At 47.5% G+C, this 27,942-nt stretch overlaps 2 protein-coding genes, 2 long non-coding RNA genes and 1 other non-coding gene across 9 annotated transcripts in view, besides 4 other annotated features; 2 read left to right on the top strand and 3 right to left on the bottom strand.

Annotated features, from left to right (window-relative positions):
* Window positions 30-13,212, bottom strand: UNC119B (unc-119 lipid binding chaperone B). Its single transcript, NM_001080533.3, has 5 exons — window positions 12,952-13,212; window positions 10,283-10,396; window positions 6,931-7,042; window positions 6,628-6,800; window positions 30-3,750 (listed from the first exon to the last, which is right to left on the bottom strand). The coding sequence occupies exons 1-5, from the start codon at window positions 13,193-13,195 to the stop codon at window positions 3,638-3,640; spliced, it is 756 nt and encodes a 251-aa protein (NP_001074002.1). The 5' UTR covers window positions 13,196-13,212; the 3' UTR covers window positions 30-3,637.
* MIR4700 (microRNA 4700) lies at window positions 404-477 on the bottom strand. The gene has a single exon (NR_039849.1). It is a non-coding gene; the product is annotated as a microRNA 4700 (primary transcript).
* Window positions 12,453-13,295: an enhancer, noted in NCBI's record as "H3K27ac-H3K4me1 hESC enhancer chr12:121148178-121149020 (GRCh37/hg19 assembly coordinates)". NCBI's record gives its function as "activates a minimal SCP1, AML or CMV promoter by ChIP-STARR-seq in primed H9 embryonic stem cells {active_cell/tissue: H9 hESC(primed)}" and the evidence as "EXISTENCE:reporter gene assay evidence [ECO:0000049][PMID:30033119]".
* Window positions 12,453-13,322: a biological region, named in NCBI's record as "H3K27ac-H3K4me1 hESC enhancer GRCh37_chr12:121148178-121149020".
* Window positions 12,903-13,172: a silencer, noted in NCBI's record as "silent region_4965". NCBI's record gives its function as "represses an Ori minimal core promoter by ATAC-STARR-seq in GM12878 lymphoblastoid cells {active_cell/tissue: GM12878}" and the evidence as "EXISTENCE:reporter gene assay evidence [ECO:0000049][PMID:35858748]".
* LOC124903036 (uncharacterized) lies at window positions 13,164-13,737 on the top strand. Its single transcript, XR_007063491.1, has 2 exons — window positions 13,164-13,233; window positions 13,396-13,737. It is a non-coding gene; the product is annotated as an uncharacterized LOC124903036 (long non-coding RNA).
* Window positions 13,263-13,322: a silencer, noted in NCBI's record as "silent region_4964". NCBI's record gives its function as "represses an Ori minimal core promoter by ATAC-STARR-seq in GM12878 lymphoblastoid cells {active_cell/tissue: GM12878}" and the evidence as "EXISTENCE:reporter gene assay evidence [ECO:0000049][PMID:35858748]".
* A 3,432-nt stretch (window positions 13,738-17,169) lies between the features above and the next one.
* On the top strand, window positions 17,170-21,859 carry LOC124903035 (uncharacterized). Of its 2 annotated transcripts, none has more exons than XR_007063489.1 (2): window positions 17,170-20,957; window positions 21,626-21,859. It is a non-coding gene; the product is annotated as an uncharacterized LOC124903035 (long non-coding RNA). The 2 variants fall into 2 exon arrangements; XR_007063488.1 differs by having other exon boundaries at window positions 21,599-21,859.
* MLEC (malectin) overlaps window positions 21,811-27,942 on the bottom strand; it is a 14,711-nt gene continuing 8,579 nt past the window's right edge. For all 4 annotated transcript variants that reach the window (NM_014730.4, NM_001303628.2, XM_011539032.2 and 1 more), the window contains one exon: window positions 21,811-27,354. In NM_014730.4, the coding sequence (NP_055545.1) occupies window positions 27,125-27,354 (230 nt within the window). In that variant the 3' untranslated portion in view covers window positions 21,811-27,124. The remainder of the gene's footprint in view (window positions 27,355-27,942) is intronic.

Here is a 27,942-nt window from a genome sequence, read left to right as displayed (position 1 = left end):
AACAATCAGGAGACAGGACGAGGGAGACGTACTGTGAAAATCTTTCTTTTATTACTGTCTCATGTGGCAAAATAACATTTTATACAAATAAGTCACCTAGTTTACTTTGGACACAAAGACAATAAAAACTGGAATGTGATTTTGGGGGAAGCGGGAAGGAGGAGGAAGGACAGATCAGGTCATTGATGTTTCTTATATTCTGTAAAAAATAGATTTACAGGAAAAAAAATAGACTTTCACAACTTCAATGACTTTACACGGTCCTTTGTAAAACCAGTGGTAAATCCACCTCCACCAAATCCTTCTTGAGGCTGATATGTTCTGTGACATGGAATGTGAGTAACACAATGGTTCAATGATTAGGCTCCTACACCAGGTACAGCAGCACCTGATGCCACAGGAATCCTCGTGCACTGGGGTGAGGAGTCAGTCCTGTGAATTTCAGGACACACTGTCCTCATCCCCAGACCTCACTGACATCATAGTGACACTGGCCATCAGAAGAAAGTGACTTTACAGAGGGGAAAAGAGTATCCTGGAAGCGTACCGGTGGGGCAGGACACACTAAGGCAGGACTCACCCAGTTTGTACATTAGACACAGCCTATTAAATCCATTCCAGAAATGAGTTCCACTTCAACTGAAAAAATAAACTGAAGATTGCCCAATCACTGCCATTTCACAAATTTCCAGTTTATGGTCAGCCCCAAAATCACATTCTTCCACCCTATGTATTGGAAATCAAATGGCCCAAAGACTGAGGTGTCTTCAGGAAGCACATGCTTGAAAAATGTTTTCTCTGCAAAACAGTATTGAGTAATACATAAGGAGACATAGCCTACTTTAGCCCAAAACTTCTTTCACTTGTTATGTCCTTTTACCTCTTAAAACATAGAATGAAATAAACTCGGATCTTCTTTGGAGAAGCTAGAAGGGCATTTTGGCCCAAAGGCTGTACAGGAAAAGAGAGGCTCTCTCCAGGAGACTGCAAGGCAAAGGAACAGAAGCAGGAGGGGCAGGCCCTCTGGCACCAGGTGGGCCTGCTACTCTGATGAAATGTGCTCCCAGCTCTTGACAAAGGGCAGGGTCTCCTATGCAGGTAGTTTTTTTGCCGCCTCCCATTGTATCACCCACAAGGTAACTGCTATCAACAGTTCAGATTCCTTAATAACATGGCAGCCTGAATGGTTCTGTTACTTTCAGAGAAAGTATGCCTTGCAATTCTCTCCCCAACTCAGGTACAAACGCTTGAATTTCAAACTCATACTGGTTTACACCCCAGAGTGGAATGCTTCTCAAGATTTCCTGAGCAGCTAGACACAGGAACCCACAGCCCCAGATACAGAACACCAGACTTTCAGAAGCAGCAAAGCCCTGTCCTGCTGGGCATGGACCAAGCACTATCCGCAAATGGTCTCCAGTGAGACTAAGGCAAGCTAACAAGGAAGAGGATACAGCACAACTCAAGCCAGATTGCCCACCTCCTCCTTCCTCCACATCCTCTTTCTAGCAAAAGCGAACACTGCAGATAAGAGATAGCCCACTAATGTAGCAGATACAGTGTGCCCAGGGGCATGTTTCCAAGACACACTCTACTAAGCACAGCTCTGGGCAGCTCCAGAACCACATCCCAGATAATACTCAAATATCAAATAGTAGAAACTGTCCCACCTGGGCCTCTGTCAAAGAGAGAAGGGATTGTTGTTACGCTTGACAGGAACATGCAAATCCCATTTGAGGAGCCACAATGAGAAACAGAAGGTGAGGAGACAGTGCTAACAGCCCTGGCATCTTTCTGCCAGTGAGGAGGTGGGAACAATGGCAATGCAGCTTTCCCCTGCAGCATAAGGGACAGAGCCACACGTAAGGCACCTGGATTTACAGTGGACGCCAGTTCTGAGAGTGGCCGGTCTGGTGATAAGGAACCCACTCCACAGGAGGAATGGTCTCTCCCCTCTCTCGGGGCTGAATCCAAGGCCAGCACACAGGGGTAAGCTAGGACCTTCTCAGTGAGAAAGCTGCCAGCATGTGGCATTGCCAAGACTCTGGCCTGGGACAAAGCACTGGGCCAAGGTTCGGGGCCACTCGCCCTAAAGCCCACACAGGGAGCAGCACTGGTGGTGGATGGACAGGAATTTCTGTGGCCACACACTGTCTCTTCCATCCCTGGCCCCCATACGGCCTTTCTCCCAAGCACATCAGGACACTCTCCTGTCACAGGTACTGTGACACCTCACAGTCACTTACCAGATACCTGGGCCTTTCCTAGTGACATCCTTCTACTGATGCTAACTGGACCCTGGCCACATCAATCGTCTCATCAGAGGGTTTGTGGAGTCTGTCCACTAAGGGTCTGAGGACAAAAGCAGCCCACAGATGTGCAAGTGAACTTTTTTGAGAACACATCACTCTGACAGGCCACATCAGCCTATTTTGCCCTTTCTGAACACCTAAAACAATTCTAACTAGCAGTCTGAAGGCTCAGACTGCATTACGTAACTCTGATCCACCAGGAAAGTTCCAGAAACTACTTCAGTAGAAAGGTAGATAGGAAAACCCTCCTAAACAAGAAATGTACAAAGAGCTTCGGAGGCAAATCCCCATCAAAAGCCAATCCTCCAGGCTGTGCAGTGCAGAGAAAAGTCAAATCTCTCCTTTAGAAAGCTGCTGCTGATTCGTAAGCATATCCTCCCAACATAAGCCAGATTAGCCCCTGGAAGCTGATACTATCAGAAGTCTAACCACATATCACATATGCTGGGAACACCACTGTCATTTTATAAAACCTCCCCGAAAGAAGTCTGGAAATAAAAAAACAAAATACAAGACCTGCTCTGGCCTCAAGAGATACTACTGTTCCATGAGCAGAGCTGACTCATTCTATTTCATGAGACTCAGAAGGGAGGAGCCAGGAGATGTGGAGCAAGCTTGTCTGTCCTCCAAAATGGGAACAGAAGGCACTGCCAGGCTGAAAACTTGGTCTATTCCCAGGAGGGCTGGCTGAGACCCTGGAAGTCAGACAGAGCAGCAGCCTCTCCACAAAGCAGACCCTTCAGCTTGGCAGCATCACCCATTCCTTGGTGCCTCCACTCTTGGCACCTCCCTCCCTCCCCACCCTTTCAAGTGTCTTCCAGTTGGTTTAAGACTTCACACAGACCGAGGGCAGACTGCGCTGATGGCAATGCCGGAGGTGAGAGGAGGAGCTACCTGGAAGAGGCCTACCTTTCAGCTTCCCACAGCACCCAGGAACCTTAAGAGCTGCTGACCTGCTGGTGGGCCTGGCCAGAGCCTTCTCACCAGGCACAGCTATGCCTGGTCGTCAAGACAACCAACAGGCAGCCAGAACTACGGAAAATAAACTTTTTTATCTGGATTCCAGGACCCTTATCCTAACCTTTTACTTTACTATAGTACCTCTGCAACCTACGGGGCAGGAAAAAAAGGGAAGAAAAAATACTGGGGAAGAAAACACAGCACTGTTTGGCAGCTCCTTTGGCGCGCAGGAAACTGCCACCCCAGCCTTGGCTTCCTGGGGCCAGGTTCCAGATGTGTGTTGACAAACTGCAGCTTCGATCATCTCCGTGTGCCAGGATCTTGTGGCCGCGGCAAAGCACCTCCCCTATCTACTCTTGCAGCACTTACTGGCCTCCATTATAGGCATAATCAGCCTTGTTGTGCATTATCAGCTTGTTGTCAACAAAGTAGAAGCTGTCAGAGCGGGTCTCGTAAGGATTTTCAATCATTAGACGAACTGCAAGTCAGGCAAAGGGGGAAGAAAAAAGCAAAGAATTATGTTTGAGTCTGCCCCACAGGGTAGGTGGGAGAAAACTTTGCATCCCCTCCAAAATAAGCCAGCGCTTCAGAGTATACTCTGCCAGAATAACGATGAGGTCAGAACAGAGGGAGGCAGCCCTTGACAGCTGGGGAGACCACAGAGGCCCCCCAGCTGAACATGATCTCCATTTCAACATAAGGATGCAATCAACTCTCCACCATGGCCTCCTCTGTCATCTCCAGCCTGGATTCTTCAGCCAAGATACCAGGGAAATGTGCTCACCCCTCTTCCCAACATGGACCCCACCAACCTATTTACTCAGTGCTCTCAGCTGACCAAAGCCAGCCCTGGCCTCTGGTCAGTGGCCCACCTCTAGACATTCCACTCCAAATTCAGAAATCTGAGCCTCACTGTGCCCACCTCCACACACAACCCTGACAACCCAAGGAAACCTAGATTGGAATGAGTGCAAGGAACACAGGGCAGGGAGCCTTCTCCGGAGACCTTCTGGGTATTAACTCGCAAATGATTCAGCAATAGGTCTGCCTGTCTTGGGATCTAAAGTAAAGTCTTGTTTGTTCAGGCAATTGCCCAGACCTCTTTAACCATACTGGAGAGTAAAGATAATTAACAGTCACTACCTCTGATCAGTTTTGAGTTAATGATTACATGCCATTTTGAGTCTTTAACCATACTGGAGAATAAAGATAATACTACCTCTGATCAGTTTTGAGTTAATGATTACATGCCATTTGGAGTCCCCTGGAGGAAATGCTGTTGCTCACCACAGTTCTCAAAAAGTGAAACTGATTTTTTAAAGTTCTTTGAACCCACCAATGCCAAAACTACTCGGTTTATATGCATAATATTGCCCTCCAGGCTGATTTGGCTTCATGGGTAAAACTTATAACACTATACATCATCTTTTCTTGCAAGTATCTACATATTCTAGCCAGCTTGGGAAGAGGGGTTCAAGTCAGAACCAGATGCTGTCGTCAACACCCTGCCCCACATCTCAGCAATCCTCATTTTACCTGGGAACTGTACTGCCACACGATTAAAGGTTATCTGGTTTTCAGAATATGACAATTCTTAAGGACCTGGGATTCTGAGAGGACCAATCAGTGATGCCAGCAAGGCAACTACAGGCATCACTAGTCACAGGATTCTATTCACACCCTCATAAATGACTTGAATTTTCCCTAACTATTCACAAAGGATGCGAACCTGAGGTGGCTAGGCCAAAGTTGCAGAAACTGACAAGGGCTGTTCTTTCTCTCTCGTTTGGTCCCCATCTTCCCTTGCCGAGGCTACACGGCAGCAGCCTTCTCCCTCTGGTGCCCTCCCCAGGTCTAGGCCACTCTTCCTCAAACAGTATTTCCACCTTCTCACTCCTGCCCCAAAATCTACAACAGCCCCATTCCTTCCTGCTGGATCTATCTCAACACTTTATCCAATCAACTCTCTATCCTGCAGGGAATGGAAAAGAAGTCCTCTGGCCTTGATTCTATTTAGCCTGCAGTTTCACATCTAGCTCTGATTAAGAAAAAAGTGAAGGGCCAATGACTAAAACACAATGGAAAACCATGACTAACAGTGCACAGGAGAGGTGCTTTATCTGATCAGCGTCCCAGGGATGGTCACAGGCCTCCTTTTATCTCCCTTAGGCACTGTCTTCCCACAGGAGGCATCTAAAAGGATGGCCTGTATTATTAAAACCTTCAGACCGGCCGGGCGCAGTGGCTCAAGCCTGTAATTCCAGCACTTTGGGAGGCCGAAGCAGGCGGATCACGAGGTCAGGAGATTGGGACTATCCTGGCTAACACGGTGAAACCCCGTCTCTACTAAAAATACAAAAAATTAGCCGGGCATGGTGGTGGGCACCTGTAGTCTCAGCTACTCAGGAGGCTGAGGCAGAATGGCATGAACCCAGGAGGCAGAGCTTGCAGTGAGCCGAGATTGCGCCACTGCACTCCAGCCTGGGTGACAAGATCAAGACTCCGTCTCAAAAAGAAAAAAAAAAAAAACCTTCAGACTGAGCACAGTGGCTCACGCCTGTAATCCCCAGTACTTTGGGAGGATGAGGCAGGTGGATCACAGGGTCAGGAGTTCGAGACCAGCCTGACCAACATGGTGAAACTCTGTCTCTACAAAAAATACAAAAAATTAGCCGGGCATGGTGGCAGGTGCCTATAATCCCAGCTACTCGAGAGGCTGAGGCAGGAGAATCACTTGAACCCAGGAGACGGAGGATGCACTGAGCCAAGACTGCGCCACTGCACTCCAGCCTGGGCAATAGGGCAAGACTCCGTCTCAAAAAAAAAAGAAAAAAACAAAAGGGCCGGGGGCAGTGGCTCACACCTGTAATCCCAGCATTGTGGGAGGCCGAGGAGAGTGGATCATGAGGTCAAGTGTTCGAGACCAGCCTGACCAACATGGTGAAATCCCGTCTCTACTGAAAATACAAAAACTAGCCAAGTGTGGTGTAATCCCAGCTACTCAGGAGGCTGAGGCAGGAGAATCGCTTGAACCTGGGAGGCAGAGGTTACAGTGAGCCGAGATCGCGCTGCTGCACTCCAGCCTGGGCAACAGACAGAGCAAGACTCTGTCTCAGGGGAAAAAAACAAAAACAAAAACAAACAAACCCTTCATTGCTCCCATACGGGCCGAGTCAGAGTTTAGAACAGGAGCCAGGAGCAATAGGAAATGAGAAGCCTGAGGTCAAATGACTAGATACGCATCATGTCAGCACTGCCACGAGACAATGCCAGGGCGCTGGACCAGATGGGTTTCAAGGTTTGTTCCTTGTAGCCCTCAGAATCTAGAGTGCTGTAAGGGTCAGGGGATACATACTGACATCCTCCGAAAGCTGGGGAAACTCATAGATATGTTCACAAGTGTTCCTACTGCTGGGGATGCAGAAGCCAAAATCAAAGTCAAAGTTTTTCAGCAAGTGTTCCCGGAAATAGTGCCGTTCGATCATCCGGAAGTTTGAAACAGGTTTGTCTCCCACTGTGAACTCCACCCTGGAAAATAAATCTCTGTAAGCCCGACTTTGCCTCCTCCCTCCTCTAAAGCCAACCCAAAACCCAACCGAAAACACTCTTCTCTGTGAACAAACAGAATGTTCTCCCCTCAGGTAGTAATGGTACTCACGTAGCCCCGACTGTCCGGAGGCGGAGAAATGCCGGTGTGAACTGATAGCGGACAAAACGTCCTGCGCTGATGTCCACGTCTCCACCTCCCTCCTCCTCATCCTCCTCCTGGTCTGAAAGAGCACACAGAATCTTCAGTGCACCATCTCGACATTCTCAATCCAAGAGTTCTATCACCAGTCCCAACAGCACAATGGCAACCAATCCCAGTAACCACACCAACAAGAAGAATGGCCAGTGTTTACTGCGCACTTGCTATATAGCAGGACACTTGCCATAGTCCAGACTCCTTACAACAACCCTTCGAGGTGTTACTGTCTCTATTTTACAGATCAGGAAGCTCAAGTTCAGAGAAGTCAGGTAACATGTCCAAAGTCCCTCAAACAGTAAGAGGAGGGAACAGGGATTTGAATCCAGGTCCATCTGACTCAAGGCCTGTTCTTCAACACTAAGCTATTAGCCTTTTTTAATAGTTTGAGAGCTTATGCCATATCCTAAGGGTGAAACCTGAAACACAAGCTGGGAACTGGGCCTCTGACATGGTCTATTCTATTCAGACTAGGTCTGCAGTTAACCAAGTTGAAGCGCTAGCACCAACCTAAAAGAATGAGGCTACAAAAGTTGACACTTATCAGAAAGTTATTTCAATGAATATAAAAATTTCTGACAGGCTGCAAAGATAAACCACTAAAAATAATTTTGTTATTTAAATAGAAGACATTGACCTACAGCCTTGGGATACTATAGTTCCTTGACTGATGTTTACTTCTAGGCCATACCAGGCCTAACCCTTTGACCACCTGGGAAAGGGTGAAGCAGATGTGGTGGCCTCTACAAGGTTAATGCTGGTCTCCGGTCTAGTCCATTCCTGAACCCAGGAGATGAAAGATTTGTAAAATGAATCAGAGGGCTGGGCACGGTGGCTCATGCCTGTAATCCCAGCACTTTTGGAGGCCGAGGTAGGCGGATCCCCTGAGGTCAGGAGTTCAAGACCAGCCTGACCAACATGGAGAAACCCTGTCTCTACTAAAAATACAAAATTAGCCCAGCGTGGTGGCGCATGCCTGTAATCCCAGCTACTCGGAAGGCTGAGGCAGGAGAATTGCTTGAACCCGGGAGGCGGAGGTTGTAGTGAGCCGAGATTGTGCCATTGCACTCCAGCCTGGGCAACAAGAGTGAAACTCCGTCTCAAAAAAAAAAAAAAAAAAAAAAAAAAAAAGAATCAGAGAACAAGCATTCTAATGTGAATAGGAGTTAGTACCCTCCAGTGTCCAGTGAGGATATTTTCTCCAGGTCTAAGCTGTACATGAGTACAACATAAGAGAAGACTTTTTCAGCATCAAACATCTCTGCTTTTGACAAGCCCAAGAGCGACTGGGCAACCAGGCTGAGTAGGGGTTCACCCCCAGAGACTCTAAAACCCTGGCTCCAACAATGTGACTCAGAGAGACAGCAAATCTTGGGGATTCAAATTCATCAGAACAAGTGCTGCAGAAAGGTAGTGATTCAGTGTGAGGATAATCTGTTGTTTATATTTATTGATTTATTTTGAGATAGGGTCTCACTCTGTCACCTTTGCTGGAGTGCAATGCAGTGATCACGGCTCACTGCAGCCTTGATCTCCCAGGCTCAAGCCATCCTTCCACCTCAGCCTCCTGAGTAGCTGGGACCACAGGCATGTGCCACCACGCCTGGCTAATTTTTTTGTATTTTTTGTACAGATGGGGTTTTGCCATGTTGCCCAGGCTGGTCTCAAACTCCTGGGGCTCAAGTGATCTGCCTGCCTCAGCCTCCCGAAGTGCTAGAATTACAGGTGTGATCCACCGCACCCAGCCTCAATGTGGGGAATATTACAAGTGAATCAAGATCCTTAAATGTAAAAACTAGAGAGACTGAAAACCAAGATACTTTACAGTATCTTCAGCTGACCTTCTTGAAACAGTTCCGTCTTATATTGAAATGACAACTCTTGAGTCTAATCCAAATCCACATACCTGTAGTAGGCCTGGAGTCCTTGCAATGTCCCAGGTACTGTGATATGTGGCTTAGAGATGAGAACACCACAGACCCAGGAAGCTAGCTGGTCTTGATCTGACCATCCCAATAAAAAACTACCCATAAGCAACCAGGCGCGGTGGCTCACGCTTGTAATCCCAGCACTTTGGGAGACCAAGGCAGGCGAATCAAAGGTCAGGCGTCTGACACCAGCCTGACCAACATGGTGAAATCCCGTCTCTATTAAAAATACAGAAATTAGCTAGGCATGGTGGTGGGCACCTGTAATCTCAGCTACTTGGGAGGCTGAGGCAGGAGAAGCTCTTGAACCCAGGAGGCAGAGGTTGCAGTGAGCCAAGATTGTGCCACTGCACGCCAGCCTGGGTGACAGACCAAGACTGTGTCTCAAAACAAACAACACAAAAAAAAAACCCACAAAACAACAACAACAAAATTACCCATGAACTTGAGCCTTTAGGTGCCTTGGTCAGTATGAGATTATGATAGCATAAATACCACCAGGTAGGGGTGAAATCGGGGCCTTATCAAATTTGCAGGCTCTAAGTAGCAAATCAGATGAGAAACACTGCAAAGTAAGTTTACAAACCACACTGATACTATGGGTATCTGTACCAGTGTTCTAACAAATGACTAACTCCAGGGGGCGCTAAACCTCCAGTGAGGTGCTCCAAAGGCTTCTGTGGTCCAGATCAGCCTGGCACTTTATCACAAGCACAGGAAGCGGCTATGGGAGGCTAATTTAAGGAACCCCAAGTAGTTGAGTTCCTGGGTCTGTTCTTCCAGAAAATGGTTGAGATTAAAATCCAAACTAGGTCTGGGAACTCCAAGGCAATATGTAAAAGAGAGCAAGAAGATGGCTCAAACTGCCTCATGTCTGGACCAGGATCCTCCCTATCACCCTCCAAGAGGGCACCAGGCTCAGGTGAGTTTTCCTCATTATAGTTTAATTTCAAGGATTCCTTTCCCAACTGGAGGCAACATGGTAAGATGAACCAGCACAGGGCCTTAGGAAAGAGCCGCCTGGGAATTGTAGGCCTCAGATCCTTCGCTGTAAAACAGAGATAACAGTAATTCCTCAAAGAGGTGTGAGGATTACATACACTGATGTGCACAAAGACGTGGAACACAGTGACCAGCACAGAATAGACATCCAACAAACATCAGCCTCTGAACGCAGCTTCAAACCACCATGCCTGGCAGACCAGGCCACGGGAAGAGGTCACAGAAGTGGGACACACTGGAGTCCAAGAAACAGGATGCAGTGGCACACAAAGATTTGAGTTTCAAAGACCTTTGGCTCAAAACTGTCTAGTGGTCACCACAACGTAGAGGCCTACCTGAAACGCAAGGTTTGGCAATCTCAAAAAGTACTGTCCCTGTCTCCAAATCTCGAATTTTGAAGCGGGTGAAATCAATACTGTAGATGTTGTCTTCGGGTTTACATAAATAATCTGAAAACAAGAGAGAGAAACCAACACTGTTAAATAATCCTCCAAAACTACCATTTATTTAATTCTCAAGTTTTGAAGCAAACTCAGATTTTTTCTTACACAACACACTTAAAATACTCCCAAAAACTTTCTCATGTGTTATCACCAGCAGAAGTTGTATGGACAGAATTAGGGGATCCAACAAAGAAAAAAAATAACAAGGACTTGCTTTGGATGAAAAATTGCAAAACTTTTAGAAACTAGGATAGAAAAGGTGGATTTCTTTGGAAACACATAAAAATCTTTCATCATCTATCAAGTTGGATGTCAGAACAGGGCGAACTTTTTATAGAATTCCAATCTAAGACATTTAAACTGACTTAGCAGATAATACAGTGCTAGTTTGCCAACGTTAGTTTGCCAACTGTCAGTGTAAGAAAGCCGAGATCAGCAAACTTTTCTGTAGAGCCAGATTCTAAATAATTTAGGCTTTGCCGCCACATGGTCTCTGTCACAACTACTCAACTCTATCATTGTAGCCACAAAAGCATCCACAGACAATACGCAAATGAATGAATGTGGCTATATTCCAGTAAAACTGTATTTATGGACACTGAAATATGAATTTTACATAACCACGTGTCTCAAGATTTTAAAGTTTTTTTCAACCATTTAAAAATGTACAAACCTAATCTTAGTTTGTGGGCTACACAAAATCATACAGTAGACAATACATATCATACATATCCAGGCAAGAGGATAAATCTGCCGGTGAAGACATTAGGCCCAAGTGACTAGAACATGAGCCGCAAATTGAAATAATTCTAATCACAGCAAATTTCACTGATTTCTTTCTAGGATGATTCCGGATAGCATCTTCTCCACAGCTCATTTTGATACTTGATCTTTTATTGCCTGAGTTAGTTGTTTTCGTGTTTTACAAGTTGTCTCTTTATTAAGACGACAAACTTGACAACTACTGATTATTCTGTAACTGCTAAAAAGGCTAACATTGGCTTTGGACTCTTAGAGGGTACTCAAATAATCTGCTGGATAGAATGAACGAGACGTTAAGAAGAGTAACAAAGAGGTTGCCAGACTCTAAGAAGCTGCAGAGGTGGGTTTGGACAATGAGCAACAATCCCAAGCCCCCAGATAGGATCTGAGTGCCCACTGAGAATCCTGCTTAGGGCCAGGCACAGAATACCCTAACTCACTTGGATGGCAGGAGAGGGCATGAGGTTACCAAGACCAGGTGCTGAGCATCTGTACTTTCAGAGCCCCAAATGAAAACTGGTTCAGAAGAAAAGAAGCTTTTTCACACTGTTTCAATAAAACTAACAAGAATGTCTAAAGATACGTTCAGGTCTGGTAAGGACAGTCTCAACCCAAACAGTATTGGGAAACGGGGGCATCCAAATATCTAGAATCAAATTAAAACTCTTTTAGGAAATGGGAATTCCCTTTCGCACAGGGTGGACCAAGGCCTACTCCCCCCAAATTTCCATCCCCAAATTACTAGAGCTGCAATCGGCAACCTGAGGTGCACCTGAACAGCCCTGGGCTGCCTGCTATAGCAGCTCAGCAGACACCATGGCAGCCTTCGATCCATCCAGGGAATGTTGCTGCTGCCACAGGGTTAGGAGACTGCACGCCAGGAGTGATGGGCAGGCCAAGATAGGCCTAACTAGGTGAGTGCACACTCCTGCAGGGAAAACAGCAGCAAGAGAAAAGACGTCAAGTCAGGGACTGGCTTGGCAGAGAACAGAAAAAGGGAGATCACCCAGGGCAGGGACTGGGCAACATTTTTCTTCCCACCCATCCTCCTATCAACGAAAAAGCTTAGGATGGTTGCCTTTTGTGCAGGAAACGCATTTCTGAAACTCTGAAATCATTCTTAATTCACGAGAATGTCAAAAGCAGGATTCACATGTCGGAGTCTGTACACAAACTGAAACTTTATTTTTGTTTTAATGTGGCACAGTTTTAAATGAGCAGGAAATGCCACGGCTATGTGTTTTGAGGAAGAACCCATCTGCACACTAAGGGGCAACGCTCCCGACCCAAAGAGGGAGGGAGGCCGGGCAGGCTGCAATGGGGGAGGGCTGCCATGGGGCCAGGGCGGAGGAAGCAGGTAAGGCTTCTGGCCTGCCAGAGGGCTGGGGGAGCCTGGCTGAGCGGGAACTTCACTGATGGCCGGGGGTTCCAGGCTGAGGGCCCAGGGGCCCATTTATTAGGGGACCTCGGCCCCCGGCCGGCTCAGGAGGATCCAGTTCAGCTGAACGGGGCCCTCTACCCAAACAGGTCCGGCAGAGCTGGGGAGCCGACCGGCCGAAGGGCATCCTAGCGTGGCCGGACTCACAGGAATGCGGTCCAGCCCAGGAGAGTCCTTCCCCACCAGAGCTACGTGAGCGTGGCGGGAGCAAAGCCCGGCCGGCGGGGCAGCGGGAAGCGCGGCCCGGCCGGCCGAGGGGGTCTGGCGGGGACCCCCGCGCTGGTCAAGTGGCCGGGTCCGCTGAAGGCTCCGGGAGCCGGGGCACGGCGCGAGGGGAGGGCGCGGCCCGCGCGGCACTCACTCTCGGTGACCCGGCTGAGGCGCAGGACGTGCTCGGGCCGGATGGTGTCCAGCGCCAGCAGCTCCTGCTCCGTGACCGCTGCCCCGACGCCGTCGTCGGCCGCGTGGTGGGGCGCCTGCCGCCGCGCCTTCAGGCGGTTCAGGACGCCGCCGCCCGCCTTCTTCTTCTCCTCCTTGCCAGCCACCAGCCCCCCGGGCCCAGCCGCCGACGCCGCGGCCGCAGCCTTCGGGTTAGACCCGCTCATCGCTCCGCCGCCAAGATGGCCGCCGCCTCCACAGCGCGGTAACTATGGAGAGCGGGGGCGGGGCCCGGGGCCCGGCGGGGAAGGGGCGGGGAGGGGGCGGGGCGGGGGCGGGGGCGGGCGCCCGGGGGGCTGTGGAATTCCCTTTCGCACAGGGTGGACCAAGGCCCACTCTCCCCAAACTTCCATCCCCAAATAACTAGAGCTGCCATCAGCAACCTGAGGTGCACATGAGCAGCCCTGGGCTGACTCCTATAGCAATTCAGCGGACGACACCATGGCAGCCTTCGATCCATTCAGGGAATGCTGCTGCTGCCACAGGGTTAGGAGACCGCAGGCCAGGAGTGATGGGCAGGCCAAGATAGGCCTAACTGGGTGACTGCACACTCCTGCGGGGCCCGGGGGGCGGTGCTTCGGCTACTGCCCCAACTTTGGTCCTGCCAGGTGGAGGGCCTAGGGGTGGCTGGAGCTTCAGCAACCCCACTCCCCATCAGACCCCCAAGATCCTCCACGATGTTTAAATACATATCTTACGGTCAAATGAATTTACGTCATATAAACTTTCCTCCTCCTCATCCTCCTCCTGGTCTGAAAGAGCACACAGAATCTTCCGTGCACCATCTCGGCATTCTCAATCCAAGAGTTCTGTCACCAGTCCCAACAGCACAATGGCAACTAATTCCCAGTAATCACACCAAGAAGAAGAATGGCCAGTGTTTACTGCGCACTTGCTATATGGCAGGACACTTGCTATAGGGCAGGCTCCTCACCTCACAACAACCCTGTGAGGTATTACTGTCTCCATTTTACAGATCAGGAAGCTCAAGTTCAGAGAAGTCAGGTAACATGTCCAAAGTCCCTCAAGCAGTAAGAGGAGGGAACAGGGATTTTAATCCAGGTCCATCTGACCCAAGGCCTGTTCTTCAACACTAAGCTATTAGTGGACAATGCATCTTGAGAAAATGTTTATTAATATATTTAGCATAGAAGGTAAGTTAAAGCAGTGTTTGTTTTGCAAAGGCAGTTTCAAGACAAACTTTCCAATGAGATTGCCATCCGTAAGCCCTACTGTGCCAGGCCCTGGGCTAGACATTGGGCTAGGCTACAGGAGATGTAAGAGTGAGGGCAGGGATTGGGTCTGCCTCACCCCTGAATTCCCAGCAGTTCAGCTAATGCCTGACACGTGGTAGGTGCTCAGTAATGATTGAATGAGAGCCTGAACAGTATCCCACTATGGAAGAGCTCCCACTTTTGTTAGAGAAGACTGTAAAGTACACAATTCATTATGTGACCCTTCCTTTTCACAAGGTAGGTTAGTATGAACTGGAAGACAAACTAGATTCACTGACTGCACTAAGAGATGCAGCAAAGGTGCTAGGAGAACACACAGGAGTGGTTTATTCTGACCTGGCTGTAAAAGCTTGAGGGCTTCGGAAGTTTTCAGAGGCAATATCTGCACTGAGCTTTGGAAGTTAGCCATGACCTCACCAATTAGCCAGAAGTGGGTCAACAGGGGGATGTGGTCTACCGTCTTCCACCCTGAGGGGCTCCTTCTCTAGGGATTCTAGATCTGCACTGTTCTGTGTTGGAGGCCTGGGCCTGATTGATGCAGTGTGTCTGCTAGGTCTGACATCACCTCTCAGCCAGGCTAGAGTAAAATTGCAACCGTCCCCCAGAGCCTCTTGACGTTCTTGCCAGGCCTTGCTTGCTGAGTCCCTCTCACCAAAGCCACCAAGACAGGCATCTCTTGGTTCCTGGACAAAGTCCAAACCTGACCCCACCCCAGCTGCCCAATTGGGTGGCATAGTGTGTGGCCAAATTCCTACCCAAATGCTGTACTGTCTTTGAGAGATTAGTATATGGTGGCATTTAACTAACTGTTCAGGGAGATTTTAATAAATGTGTACAAAGAATTAAAGTCTTTCCTTTTACAAACAACTCTTTTTAAACCACTCAACAGAGTGGTTACTGAAGAATTTCCAGAACTTTTAATATGCTACTTGATTGTGAATGGCCAAGAGGGTGGTTTAGCATGTGGTCATTTCCCATATACTTATTTACGGAAGGTTTGTTCTCATAGCACCAAGACTAGTTACCTGGACCATGGCTTTTCTCTTTCTAGGGATGATGGCAAATGTAACCTCTTCACCTGCAATTCCACATCTAGGAATTTACCCTACCTGCATGCACAGAGATTTGTAATATTGACAAATTACAATAAATTACATTTGTATCCATTCACGTTACATAGAGCTGTTTTAAAAAATGAGACATATATATTAGTATGGAAAGATCTCAAACATATATTAAGTAGGGCAAAAAGCAAGGCACAGAGTCATATTTGTGTATTTATTTATTTAAGACAGGGTCTCACTCTTGTCACCCAGGCTGCAGTGCAGTGGCACAATCACAGCTCACTGCATCCAGCCGCGAATCCCATTTATTTAAAATAAAAAGTATATAAATATTTAGATGTGGGCCGAGTGTGGTGGTTCATGCCTGTAATCCCAGCACTTTGGGAGGCCAAGGTGAGCAAATTGCTTGAGCCCAGGAGTTCGAGACCAGCCTGGGAAACATGGCAAAACCCCGTCTCTACTAAAAATACGAAAATTAGCTGGGCGTGGTGGTGCATGCCAGTAGTCCCAGCTACTCAGGAGGCTGAGGTGGGAGAATCACCGGAGCCCAGGAAGCCGAGGCTGTGTGAGCTGAGATCGCACCACTGCACTTTAGCCTGGGCCATGGGCGTGAGACCCTGTCTCAAAAAAAAAAAAAAAAAAAACACAGATAGACATAGACATAAATATAAATATGCATTTGTAACTGTAAAGGAAGAGGTCTGGATATACATTAAAACATTAACTTTGATTACGTCTGGGGAGGAGAGTATCAGAAGAGACTAAAGGAAATATATTCACTTTTGACATTATTTAGAACTACTACTTCTGTACTATTTTATCTCAAGCATATAATCATGGGCTGCTTGTATACTTTTTTAAAAAGAAAATACCGGCCAGGTGCAGTGGCTCACGGCTATAATTCCAGCACTTTGGGAAGCCGAGGCAGGCAGATCACAACGTCAGGAGTTCGAGACCAGCCTGACCAATATGGTGAAACCCCGTCTCTACTAAAACTACAAAAATTAGCCGGGCATGGTGGCACACTCCTTTAGTCCCAGCTACTTGGGAGGCTGAGGCAGGAGAATCGCTTGAACCTGGGAGGTGGAGGTTGCAGTGAGCTGAGATCGCGCCACTGCACTCCAGCCTGGCAACAGAGCAAGACTCTGTCTCAAAAAAAAAAAAAAGAAAAGAAAATACTTTTGGATCTGTGTCTGGAAGGCAAACTCTATGCCAAAGTTGCCTTACAAATCTTTTAAAATTTAAAAGCAACCTCAAACTTAATTTTTTTTTTTTTTTTTCTGACGGGTCTCGCTCTGTCACCCAGGCTGGAGTGCAGTGGCACAATCTCGGCTCACTGCAACCTCTGCCTCCTGGGTTCAAGCGATTCTCCTGCCTCCGCCTCCCAAGTAGCTGAGAACACAGGCACGCGCCACCATGCCCAGCTAATTTTTGTATTTTTAGTAGAGACGGGGTTTCACCACGTTGGACAGGCTGGTCTCGATCTTCTGAACTTGTGATCCACCTGCCTCAGCCTCCCAAAGTGTTGGGATTACATGCGTAAGCCACTGTGCCTGGCCTGTTTTTTTATTTTACTTTATTTTTTATTTTTATTATTCTTTTTTTTGAGACAGAGTCTCATTCTGTCGCCCAGGCTGGAGTACAGTGGCACAATCTTGGCTCACTGCAACCTCCGCCTCCCAGGTTCAAGCGATTCTCCTGCCTCAGCCTCCCAAGTAGCTGGGATTACAGGTGCCCACCACCATACCTAGCTAATTTTTGTATTTTTAGTAGAGATGGGGTTTCACCATGTTGGTCAGGCTGGCCTTGAACTGACCTCAGGCGATCCGCCTGCCTCAGCCTCCCAAAGTGCTGGGATTACAGGCGTGAGCCACCATGCCTGGCATTTTTTTTTTTTTTTAAGTAAATACTGCCATATGAGTCAGAGCTTGTACTCTCTCTGGGCACTACCTATGAATTTTGGTTAAAAGGAATAGACTGGCTGGGCACAGTGGCTCATGCGTGTAATACCAACACTTTGGGAGGCCAAAGCCAGAGGATTGCTTGAGGCCAGAAGTTCGAGGGGTGAGAGTGAGACTGTAAGAAAGGACGGGGGGAAAGGAAGGAAACGAGAAAAGAAAGAAGGAAATGAAGGAAAGGGAAAGGGAAGGAAATATATATAATTTCATTTTTTAAAGGGGTAGGAAAAATTAGGGGTGTAACCGCCAATCTGCCTTTCCACATCAAATTTTTTGAGGTGTGGGGAAAGGCTCTTTTAAAATGTCTTTTGAAAATTACATATACTAACACTTTATTTGGGGGAAGAAGGAAAATAGAGGACTACTGCATTAAATAGTAATCCTGACACCAAAAGCAGAGGGCCAGCCTTCCTTTCCCCCCAGCTCAGGGCTGACTCTCTCCCGCTGGCTGTTTTCCTCCCTGTAAGAGGTGTGAGAGTGGCTGTTTTCCAGGGCAGTCCCAGAGTAGCCAGGCAGTCTGCCTTCAAATCAGGCCAGGCAGGTGGGGCCCAGAGCTGGTGTAACCAAGGTAAGCAAGACATCATCAGCTGGCATTTTTCTGCCAAGACTGAAAGTTCAGTCCTGCTTTCTGCTGCCTCCCCAGATGGCATGCACTGAATTAGCAAATCATGGCTGGGATTGCAGGCATGGCTTGTGGTCTGGGACTAAGAGCTAGTAATTTCCTTAGTACCAAGTCACTCTACTATCTGGCTGAGGGCTGTTTGTTTGTTTGTTTGTTTGTTTGTTTTTAAGAAGGAGTCTTGCTCTGTTGCCAGGGTGGAGTGCAACGGCATGATCTTGGCTCACTGCAACCTCTGCCTCCCATGTTCAAGTGATTCTCCAGCCTCAGCCTCCCAAGTAGCTGGGATTACAGGTGCCCACCACCACGCCTGGCTAATTTTATATTCTTAGTAGAGACGAGGTTTCACTTTGTTGGCCAGGCTGATCTCGAACTCCTGACCTCAGGTGATCCACTTGCCTCAGCCTTCCAAAGTGCTGGGATTACAGGTGTGAGCTACTGCGCTTAGCCAGAGGGCTGTTTTTAAAAAGCATTATTTATTATTTATATCCTACCTGTTTCCAAAAGAGATTTCTGGCATATTCCAAAGTCACAGCACAAGATTGGTGAGTAAAAATTCATATAGCCTCATGGAGGACAGTACTTTCAAATTTTTAAATGCATATATTGTTTGATCCAGTAATTCCTTAAAGGAATTCCCTAAAGAAACACCTGCACATACGCACAAAGATATATGCATAAGCATGTTCACTGCAGCAGTTTGTACTGGCAAAAAATGAGCAGTATCTTAATGTTCATCTACAGGGGATTGGTAAAATCAATTACAATCTAACCATAAGATACTGTACAGCCCTTGAGTGAGGAAAATCTCTATGTACTGACCCATCTATATGAACTACCTCTCTAAGACATATTAAGTAAAAATGGCACAGAATGATATGTATGGTATATTCCCACTTGTTTAAAAAGACTCTGTGTGTGTGTGTGTGTGTATATATATATATATGTAAATACATATATATGTAAATACATTTACACACATATATGTAAATACATTTACATATATATTACATATATATAAATACATATATACACATATATATATGTAAATACATTTAAAATGAAAGATACACACCAGAATGTCCTCTGTATTATCCTTTAGGGATTAGAGGGATAGGGAAGAAAATGATTTTTCAGGCCAGGTATGGTGGCTCACACCTCTGATCCCAGCACTTTGGGAGGCCGAGGTGGGCGGATCACTTGAGTCCAAGAGTTTGAGACCAGCCTGGGCAACATGGCAAAATCCTGTCTTTACAAAAAGTATAAAAATTAGCTGGGTGTGGTGGCTGCACACTGTAGTAGTCCCAGCTACTCAGGAGGCTGAGGTGGGAGGATCGCTTGAGCCTGGGAGGTCAAGGCTGCAGTGAGCCAAGATCTTGCCACTGCACACCAGCCTGGGTGACAGAGCAAAACCCGGCCTCAAAAAGAGGAAAAAAAAAAAGAAAAAGAAAAGAAAATGATTTTTCACATTTTGCACTCCTAACACTTTTTTAAGAATTTATTTCTGTATATATTTATAGATCTTTATATCACCAAGTCTTAAAAGTTACTTTTTCAGAGAAATAATAAAACCTCCATGTAATCATAGATTCATCAGTTATCAATACTCAAAGGTTCCTCTTTAAAACTAGTATATCATGGCACTAAAAGCACAGATTTTGGGGTCAAACAGCATTGGGTTCCAGTCTTTGCTCTGCCAATTACCAGCTATGTGACTCTGGCCAGGTCGTTTCTCTCCTGAGGCCTTTGTGCCTTCATTTATAAGTCAGGCTAGTCACAGGTCTTTCCTAGGATTGTTATGAAGAGACACAAAACGGCAAGAAAAAGCACTGTACTGGTGCCAGGAAGAGTGTCCCATGAATGGTCACTATGACAATATACACAAGTGGCCTCTTTCTCCACGCCCCCTCTGTTGAGGGCAGGCACACAGGGCAGGCGCATGGGGCAGGGAGAAGCCATGGATCCAGGTGAGAGAGTGCAGTGACAAAGCAAGTGGAGTTATTTCGTACTAATGTTAAGTGGTTAGGAACAAACAAAACTGAGACTCTTGGGCCAGGGTGCTGCAGCGAGGTGCTTGTGGCCTTAGGTTGTTGGAGAGCAGAGGCAAGCCCGCTCCAGGACCTCCATGCTCCGCCTCCTTTCTGCCTTGACCCCTCACCACTGCGATAGCAATGAGCTTTCCAGTAAGTACTAGAAAAACTCATCTCTCTTCCTTTATGGGGGATGGGGGGTACTAAGTATGGAGAAAGGTCTCACCGGCTCCAGCCAACCGGGAGCCTGATTTCCTTAGTAAGATTAAGATCTGGACCCACAGAGTGGTCCAACCCAACCCCGGTACTTGGCCCAAGATCTTCTGTCAGACAATTTCCCTCCCTGTAACTCCCTAGAGCAGGAGTTCTTCAGGTCTCTTCCCCATTTGGCAGCTCATGCAAAGCTACTTGAAATAGTAACAACGAAATCTGAATTAGGAAAGAACTCCAGTTATGGGTGGGCTCAGCCTAAGAAAGAGGCTCTGTGGGCCTCCTGGCTTGTTTGGGCCCTGAGAACAGACTCCATCAACAATGGCCTCACTCTTGGGGCTGCACACTGAATTCTGCCCTTCAAGGGATAACTGAGGGAGGTAGGCCAAACTCCTGTTCCTCCACCTCCACCCCTCCCTACCCCTGCAAGCCAGCAGTCTCCATTCCCACTCGGAGAAATCCCGCAGGTAGGCTCTGGAGCCATGCCACCCAGCACCATGAAGAAATGGATGGCAGCAGAGGGTAATGATGGAGAGCAGGAGTCCTGGTTTAAAACCCCAGCTCCGCCTTTTGTTGGTTGTGCTACCTTGTGCAAGTCACTTCATCTCTTAAAGGGGAATAGCAACTGGTTTGTTGAAGATAAAAGAGAGATAACATGTGGAAAATGCTGGGCATTGTGCCCAGCCCATTTCAAGGACTCAGTAATGGACAGCTGTAATTATCTTTACAGCTTTAAAGAGCTTGGGGCTTTGATGGCAAACAGACTGAATTTGAACCCTGGCTTGACCAGACCATTTACTACATTAGTCTGGGGTATGTTACTGAACTTTTTTGAGCTTCAGTGTTTGTGTGTGTGTGTGTATGTGTGTGTCTGTGTGTGTGTGTCTGTGTCTGGGTCACCCAGGCTGGAGTGCAATGGCGAAATCTCAGCTCACTGCAGCACTGACCTCCTGGGCTCAAGTAATCCTCCCACCTCAGCCTCCTAAGTAGCTGCGACTACAGGCATGCACCACCATGCCTGGCTAATTTTTGTATTTTTAGTAGAGACAGGGTTTCGCCATGTTGCCCAGGCTGGTCTTGAACTCCTGGGCTCAAGCAATCTGCTGGCCTCAGCCTCCCAAAGTGCTAGGATAACAGGCGTTAAGCCACCATGCCTGGCTCAACGATCCTCACCTGTAAAACGTGGCTTATAAATTATAGGAAAAAAAATCCCTCCTGCATTCTGCTCTTCCTAATGTGTAATCAACAATGACAAAACACCAGAAAAGGAGCAAGCAGAGAAAAATCTCCTATGGCTTAGGTTAGCTTAGCTTGTCCGTGGGCTATCACAGAGGCTAAGGGAATGGTGAGGAGAGGCAGCAATAGGCCCAGTGTGCCTTAAGAGTGGGACAGTCTGTGCCTAGTTGTTCCAGTGAAAGTGAAAACAAATTTTTTGTCCTTAAATGCGCTGCTAGTTGAAATGACCAGGAAGGGTTTTACAGAATGATTCCCCTAAGCAAACATCCCAGAGAGAAGAAAAGCAAAAGACACACAGCTAAATGGACAACAGTTCCCAGCCTCGTCACAGGAGAACTCTTTGGAGCCAAGTGAACCCCTGGGTCTCCTTTTTCCCACCCCATCACTTCAGCGCTTTGAGATCAAGTTCGAACTCAGTCCCAACACAGAGTGTCACTGCAAATTGTTTATTAAAACACAAAGCAATGGACAGTGAAAAACATCCTGATTTTGTACTTTTTGGTGGGAGTGGGGTGGGACATGGAAGGGGTAGGGTCAGATGGAGACAGCCCAGAAGGAAAGCCAGCTCTATCCACCCCTACAGCTTCCCCGGCCAACCAGGTTCAAAGCCCATCAGTTATATCTCACTGTGCCGCTGTCAATGCATGTTGTGGCTGCTGGCAAAGAGTTGGTTTGGCCTCCACAGAGAGAGGATGGGAAACTAGGGTAGAAGCTACAAGGGCTAAGAACTTGATGCTTTTTCTCCAGTACTTGGTACAGAATAGAGCAGCCAGGCCCAATGTGGAAGGGTGGGCTTGGTTTCCTGACAAGCCAGGTTAGACCAATAATGGTTGAAGAGGCTGCCCTGGGCTCAGAATGGGCAGCTGGTCCTTGCCTGGGAGAACTTTGTGGAAGGAAAAGGTAAGATTCCTTAAGTCCAAGGAGAGAACCAATCCAGGGTCAAATTTCTTTTCATTCCCTGGATCACAACACACCAGGGAAGAGAGGAGTCAAGAATGTCTCTCCCTGCCAGTGCTCCCCTCCTACCTCGCAACTCGGCTCTCCCTTCCCGACAGTTGTCCTTTGAAAGGACGGAAAGCGCACTTCAGTTTGTTGTTGTTTTTCCTCATACTGAAATAAAGCACTGAAGCTCAAAATAGAGGTGAGAATGGAGTTCTGCTTTCCCCAGTGCTATGTGCCCCCATCTCACAAGACTGCCTGGATGCAAGAGGTGCCAAGGCCCTCTCTGCCAACTCAAACAGGCACTACTGTTTCCTTGGCTGCCAGCACAATCCTGGCTCCTTGTGTTTATACTCCTGGGGGAACCTGTCCCAAGAGATCCATCCTGCTCTTTTCCTGCCAACCCAGCTAGTCCCCAAATCACCTGCTCTTATCAAGATAATCTGGCCCCCCATAGCAGGCTAGACAAAAGGCAGCTGGAAAGGACAGGCCAGACTGGAAGCAAGCCACACAGATGCAAAGAAGAAACCTGCCCTCGCTAGGCAGCTGATCTACTGGTACCAATCTAGTCTCATAACAAAATGAGGAAATCTAGCCCTCTTGCCCCAGAGAGATTTAAATACAGAGAGTCTTAGTTTGGACTGAAAGAGAAAAATTGCTCTGATCTTTCTAAAGCTTGAACATTAAGGCTTCTTTGCAATTTTCTTAGAGCTCTTTGATCGTTAATTATATCTTTCCATCGAAGAGAAGCAGATTTCTTCTGAGATTTCTGAACAGTTCCTGGGTGTTTCCGGTTCTGCTTCCGTGTACTATCACTTTGCCTTGCCTCAGTCTCTCCTTCCTCCGGGGCCACAGAAGGAGAAAGCCCAAAGCATACCCATCCTGCCCTTTAAAAAAAAAAAGAAAGAAAGATTCGTCTCTCACTTTGGAAAGCTCACCTACTCTCCTAGGTCCTTCTGGAGGGGCATGGAGGACAATATTCCATGTTGCCATTTGATGCCACTAAGGATCCCCAAGGCAAGAAGACACTTGAATTATGCCAGAGTAGGCCAGCAAAGGGGAGGGAAGGGACAGGGAAGCAGCCCCATGGCAGGGACTATAGGACCCCTGCCCAAACCTGAATCTAGAGGGAATGCCCCACCCTGGCTCAGAGCAGGAGAGGAAAAGGCACTGTGCTGACCGGGGTGGGTCCTTCCCCAACCCCTAGGGAGGGCAGAGAACCTGCTGATTCTTTCCCTGGGTTTCCCAAGGTGAGCCAATTTCTAGGGAAAGGGATTTTAGCACTAGGAAAAGGAAAATACTGCTGCTGTTTTCTGAAGTTCTCAGCTGAGATTTTAGAAACCATATCCAGGCCTTTCCAGGAGAGGCTAGAGGCAGGAGAAGAAGGAAGAGAAATTCCTTAAAACAGAAGCTTCTCCCAAGAGATAAGGAAGTCAAAACCACAGTTCTAAAGCTGGACCAAACAGTTCCCAGGCACAGAAAGGGGGAGGTAAACCTAACTCAAACTGTGCCCTCTCATCAAAGCCTAAATGCCCGCTAACGTGATCCCAGTAGCTCTTAGGCAGGGAGGGCAAGAGAACACGAACACGCTCTCAAACCAACAGGTGGCCCTGTGGGCAGGGCTAGTCTTCCTGGGAGTCTAACGCCATTGACACCTGAAGAAAACTATCTTCCCAGTCATGAGAACTCGGGGTGTCGATTGAGCAGCCTCTCCTCAACAATGGAGATTTTTCAGAAAAGTGAGTCTGGTTTAAGGGACACAAATCCCACAGAGTTTCTTGGCACAATGTTTCAGTAAGCATGAGTGAGACCCAAAAACGTCCAATGAGAGACCAACAGGCCCCTGACCTAAGTCAGAGCTAGACTGCAGAACTCTCAGCCCAGCTCTGCAGCAGACATCTGCGTCATCCTCCCAGAAATTCAACTCAGGCCACACTTCTGGCAAAAGAAGTTTCACCCTGACTGTCCTTGTTTTCAGTCAGCTGGGCTCAGTGGGATCTAAAAACCTGGGACAGAGTGTAGATCCAGTAGAGGAGCCCAGGCCTCTCCTCCACGCACCCCTCACTGGCACCCCTCACCATCTCCCATACATTCCCTATGGTGCAGCCTCTCAGTCCTAGCACTAAGCTCAAAATACAGATAAGAGAACAAACAGTGCAAAAAGCAAAAGGTGAACAACAGAGTAATTCTTGACACATACAATACAAAAATAAAAATAAAGAATCCCACCCCTTTAACCTAAACTTCATGTACCTATATCTTGGAGGAGCCACAAAACAAAAACAAAAACAAAAAAACTTTCAAGTTCAGCATCATGAGCCAGCTGTGACCAGCCCCAGGGAGCTCTTGTTAGCTGGATAGGCTTGGCTCCAGGGGAGTCTACCCCAGCCCCCACCATACTTCTTCCTGTTTCCTCACTTCCCCTTTAGTTTTTGTTAGCCATAGAAAGATGTTCCTTCCTTTCGTTCACAACCAGAGAGGAAAGCGCCCATCCCTAACCCTGAGCTCAGGGGAAAAGGGTGGGCTTGGAAACAGAGGCAGAAGCAAAGCTGCTTGGCTTACAGTACCATTAGGAAATGGCCCCAGGAGTCAGGGTTTCCTTCTGAGACTCTGAGTCACTGAAGGGATGTGTTGAGGTGGAAGGCGGGACCCCCTCCTTCCTCAGACAGACCCAGGCAAACTAACAAACAAGGCAAAATGGAGGCAGCCAGTCCTCCTCCTTCATCTTGACTAACCCAATGGCAGTGGCCCAGGGCTTTGGGGAATTTCGATGGGATAGGAACCAAAGCTACTGCCAGAAGCCTGTTTAGTTAGGATGTCCACTGCCCCAGGCAGGTGGTCCCCAGGACCAAGGCTACAGTACCTTATCCTTTAGAAGCAGGGGAGCTGTGTGAAGCACTATGGGAAGTATACCTCTGACTGCAGCCTCGGGCCACAACCCTCCAGCTGCCTGACTCAATACCCTAGCACTGAGACCCAAGTCACAGCGAAAACAACAGGCTACAATTCTCAAACGACTAAATGCTGGCCTGGAGTAATCATTAAAGAGCCAAAACCCAGGACATGAGCCCAAGAGCTACCTATTTTGTCACATAAGGAGCAGTTCAAATATACAGAGCTCTTAAAAAACATATCTAATAAAGCAAACTCAAAATTAAACACATTCTAGAAAAGCGGGCCTGGCCTGAGATCCTATATTGACTGCTCCAGCCCAAGCTGAAGCTAATCCTGCTGTCTCCCATCCACAAAATTCCTTCTAGCTTGGCTGGGTCCTCCTTCATTGTTGCCCTAACTGGGAAATGGATGACAATGGCCAGAAAGGAGGGGACCAGGGAAGCTTCATTTCCTATAGAAATTTTTTCAGGGAATTCAAGATCGACACTTAGATGCTAAGGTTAGCTTCAGAGCTGCCAAGGCTCTGGCTGACTGGAATTCTTTCAGTCCCATCACACCAAGAACCTGACTGCTACTTGGATAGAGAAATGAAAGGACAGGGGAAGGAGGGGCATACTATTAAGATCAATAAGAAGCATCGCTGGGCCTATATAGCTAATTAGTCTAGTTCCTTGAAGTAGCTCTAGGCATAAACCAAAACTGGCTGAACTGTGACACACAAGAACATGGGAATAAATGAACATCAGATACCAGACACTCTAAACAGTGGTCAGTCACTTAGTAGGGCTCAAATCTCTGAGGTTGCTCTTAAGCTATGCTAACATAAGCCTTTTCTAATCCAAAGACCAGAAGAGACTTTTAAGGTCAAGTGTTCTGTTGCTGCAGGCTGGAAAGCATCCCTGCCCCCTGGCAGCAAGGCCCTACAAAGGGGCCAGTAAAGAACTGCTGGGTCAGGTCCTCCTGGCTGCTGGCTCAGAGATCCAGGGAGGGAGGTACCAACAAGGTGAGGTGGTAAAGGAGAAGACATTCAAGCAGAGAACCCCAAATCCCCGTGTCTCCTTCCCTTCTTGGCTATAACTTAGTGGGATGGTTGAGAGGGAGAAGAAATTTCAAATGAGCCAGATTAAGGAAACAAACAAACAAACAAAACTGAGAAGAAATCAAGTCCCCAACAGGCACTGAAATCAAAATGATTTGTTGTGGTAACAAGTCAGAGGCGATCTGAGGACCCGACATAACCGAAACGTCTTGGATGCTGGACAGTCTATAACTGGCACATGCCAGGGAGACAAGCAATGACAAAGCTCAAACACTAAAGGTGGGACCATCACTGGATTAATCCAGAAAGGCTTCCAGATAAGGAAGCATTTTCTTTCTTTTTTTTTAATCTCCCTACTTTTTTTTTTAAGTCTTTACCGCACAAATTCTACCCCTTCACACACATTCTTTCAATCCCAGGACGTCTGAAGTCTTATCTAGACATAACTTCAGACCGTACCTAACTCCCAGTGCTGGTCGTCTCAGGTAATAAGATGGCATTTCCCTGCTGTTAATTTCTAACCTAAAAAAAGGAACAGTGACTCCTCTGAGTTCAGAGTCCTTTCCACTAGGTATACAAATGAGGATCCTTGAGCAGGAAGGATCCAGTTTACCCTAAGTATCCTCAAGAGGAAAGAGAAGGCTGGGAGCCAGCCACAAAGAGAGGACGAGGACTGAAGCACGTCTGGGACCAGGTGGTGAATGAGGGCTGCTCTCTACTCGCTCTGCCTCTTTTTGTCTCCTTTAATTGATGTGTGTTTTTTTCTCTTTGTTTTTGTTCATTAATCATTGTGAAAAATACAGAAACCAAAACCAATATGGCTGGTTTCTTTCCCACACCCCTCCACCCTGTTCAGGATAGTCATTTGTTCTCACAACCGGCAGAGGCAGAAGAGGGTTGGAATGAAGACTCCGAAGGCCACCAGGATGGGAAACATGAGGCTGCTGTTGTCCGAGGCATAGGGGTTGGGTGTGCGGGGGCCTGACTGCACCCGGTTCTTATTGGTCTGTTTTTTGAGATTAGACCCTTCATCATATTCTTCTTCTTCTTCTTCCTCTTCTTTCTTCTCCAATCCCGGATGAGGCTGAAGCTTTGGTACATCTAACACAAGGAAGAAAACACTGTTAAGACCCACAGCATTTAAGTAAGAGAGACCCTTAAAAGCAGCAAATAAGCCACAATAAAGAGATTGCTGTGATTGAACCCGGGTCCAGAGAAAAGACCAGAAGTAGCAGAAATAGCCTCTGGTCTACAGAACAGCAGAGTGCTGCAAAAGCTTTAGATTTAACTAGAAAGTAGAAAAAGCCGTGCTCATAGGGAGGTTCACTATCTTACCTTCCTGTTCTACTTTTACAGAGCCCCAAGATAACCAGACTGGACAGGGACAATGATCCAATGCCTAAACTTTAGCCTTTTCAAATCCCTCCTCCTCCCACAAGCCCACATTCCCTTTTGATTCACACAACAACTGAAGAAACGTTGACCCAGAGAGTTCTGGGTTCCCAGCACACACTATCCCTCTGTCCTGCCTCCTCCTCAGGGACTTGAACACAGGTCTGTTTGGTGGTAAGACATTCATCCTCCTAGATGTCATAATATCAGCATTTGGGGGACATCAAGACAACAGGATGAAATCCTCAGTGCATTCAAGATTGAGTTGGGGAAAGGTACAGAGGTGGAATGGGGGAG

Source organism: Homo sapiens, chromosome 12 (assembly GCF_000001405.40).
Source record: "Homo sapiens chromosome 12, GRCh38.p14 Primary Assembly".
NCBI lineage: Eukaryota > Metazoa > Chordata > Mammalia > Primates > Hominidae > Homo > Homo sapiens.
The sequence above is the reverse complement of the archived record's forward strand: the minus strand, read 5'-3'. Positions and strand labels throughout refer to the sequence as shown.

Bases quoted from the DNA above. Each gene is read 5' to 3' on its own strand.
- UNC119B (NM_001080533.3), bottom strand. From the start codon at position 13,195: ATGAGCGGGTCTAACCCGAAGGCTGCGGCCGCGGCGTCGGCGGCTGGG. The intron at 10,397-12,951 runs GTGAGTGCCGCG...TCTTGTTTTCAG, and splicing joins CCTCAGCCGGGTCACCGAGA to ATTATTTATGTAAACCCGAA. The intron at 6,801-6,930 runs GTGAGTACCATT...TTTATTTTCCAG, and splicing joins CTCCGGACAGTCGGGGCTAC to GGTGGAGTTCACAGTGGGAG.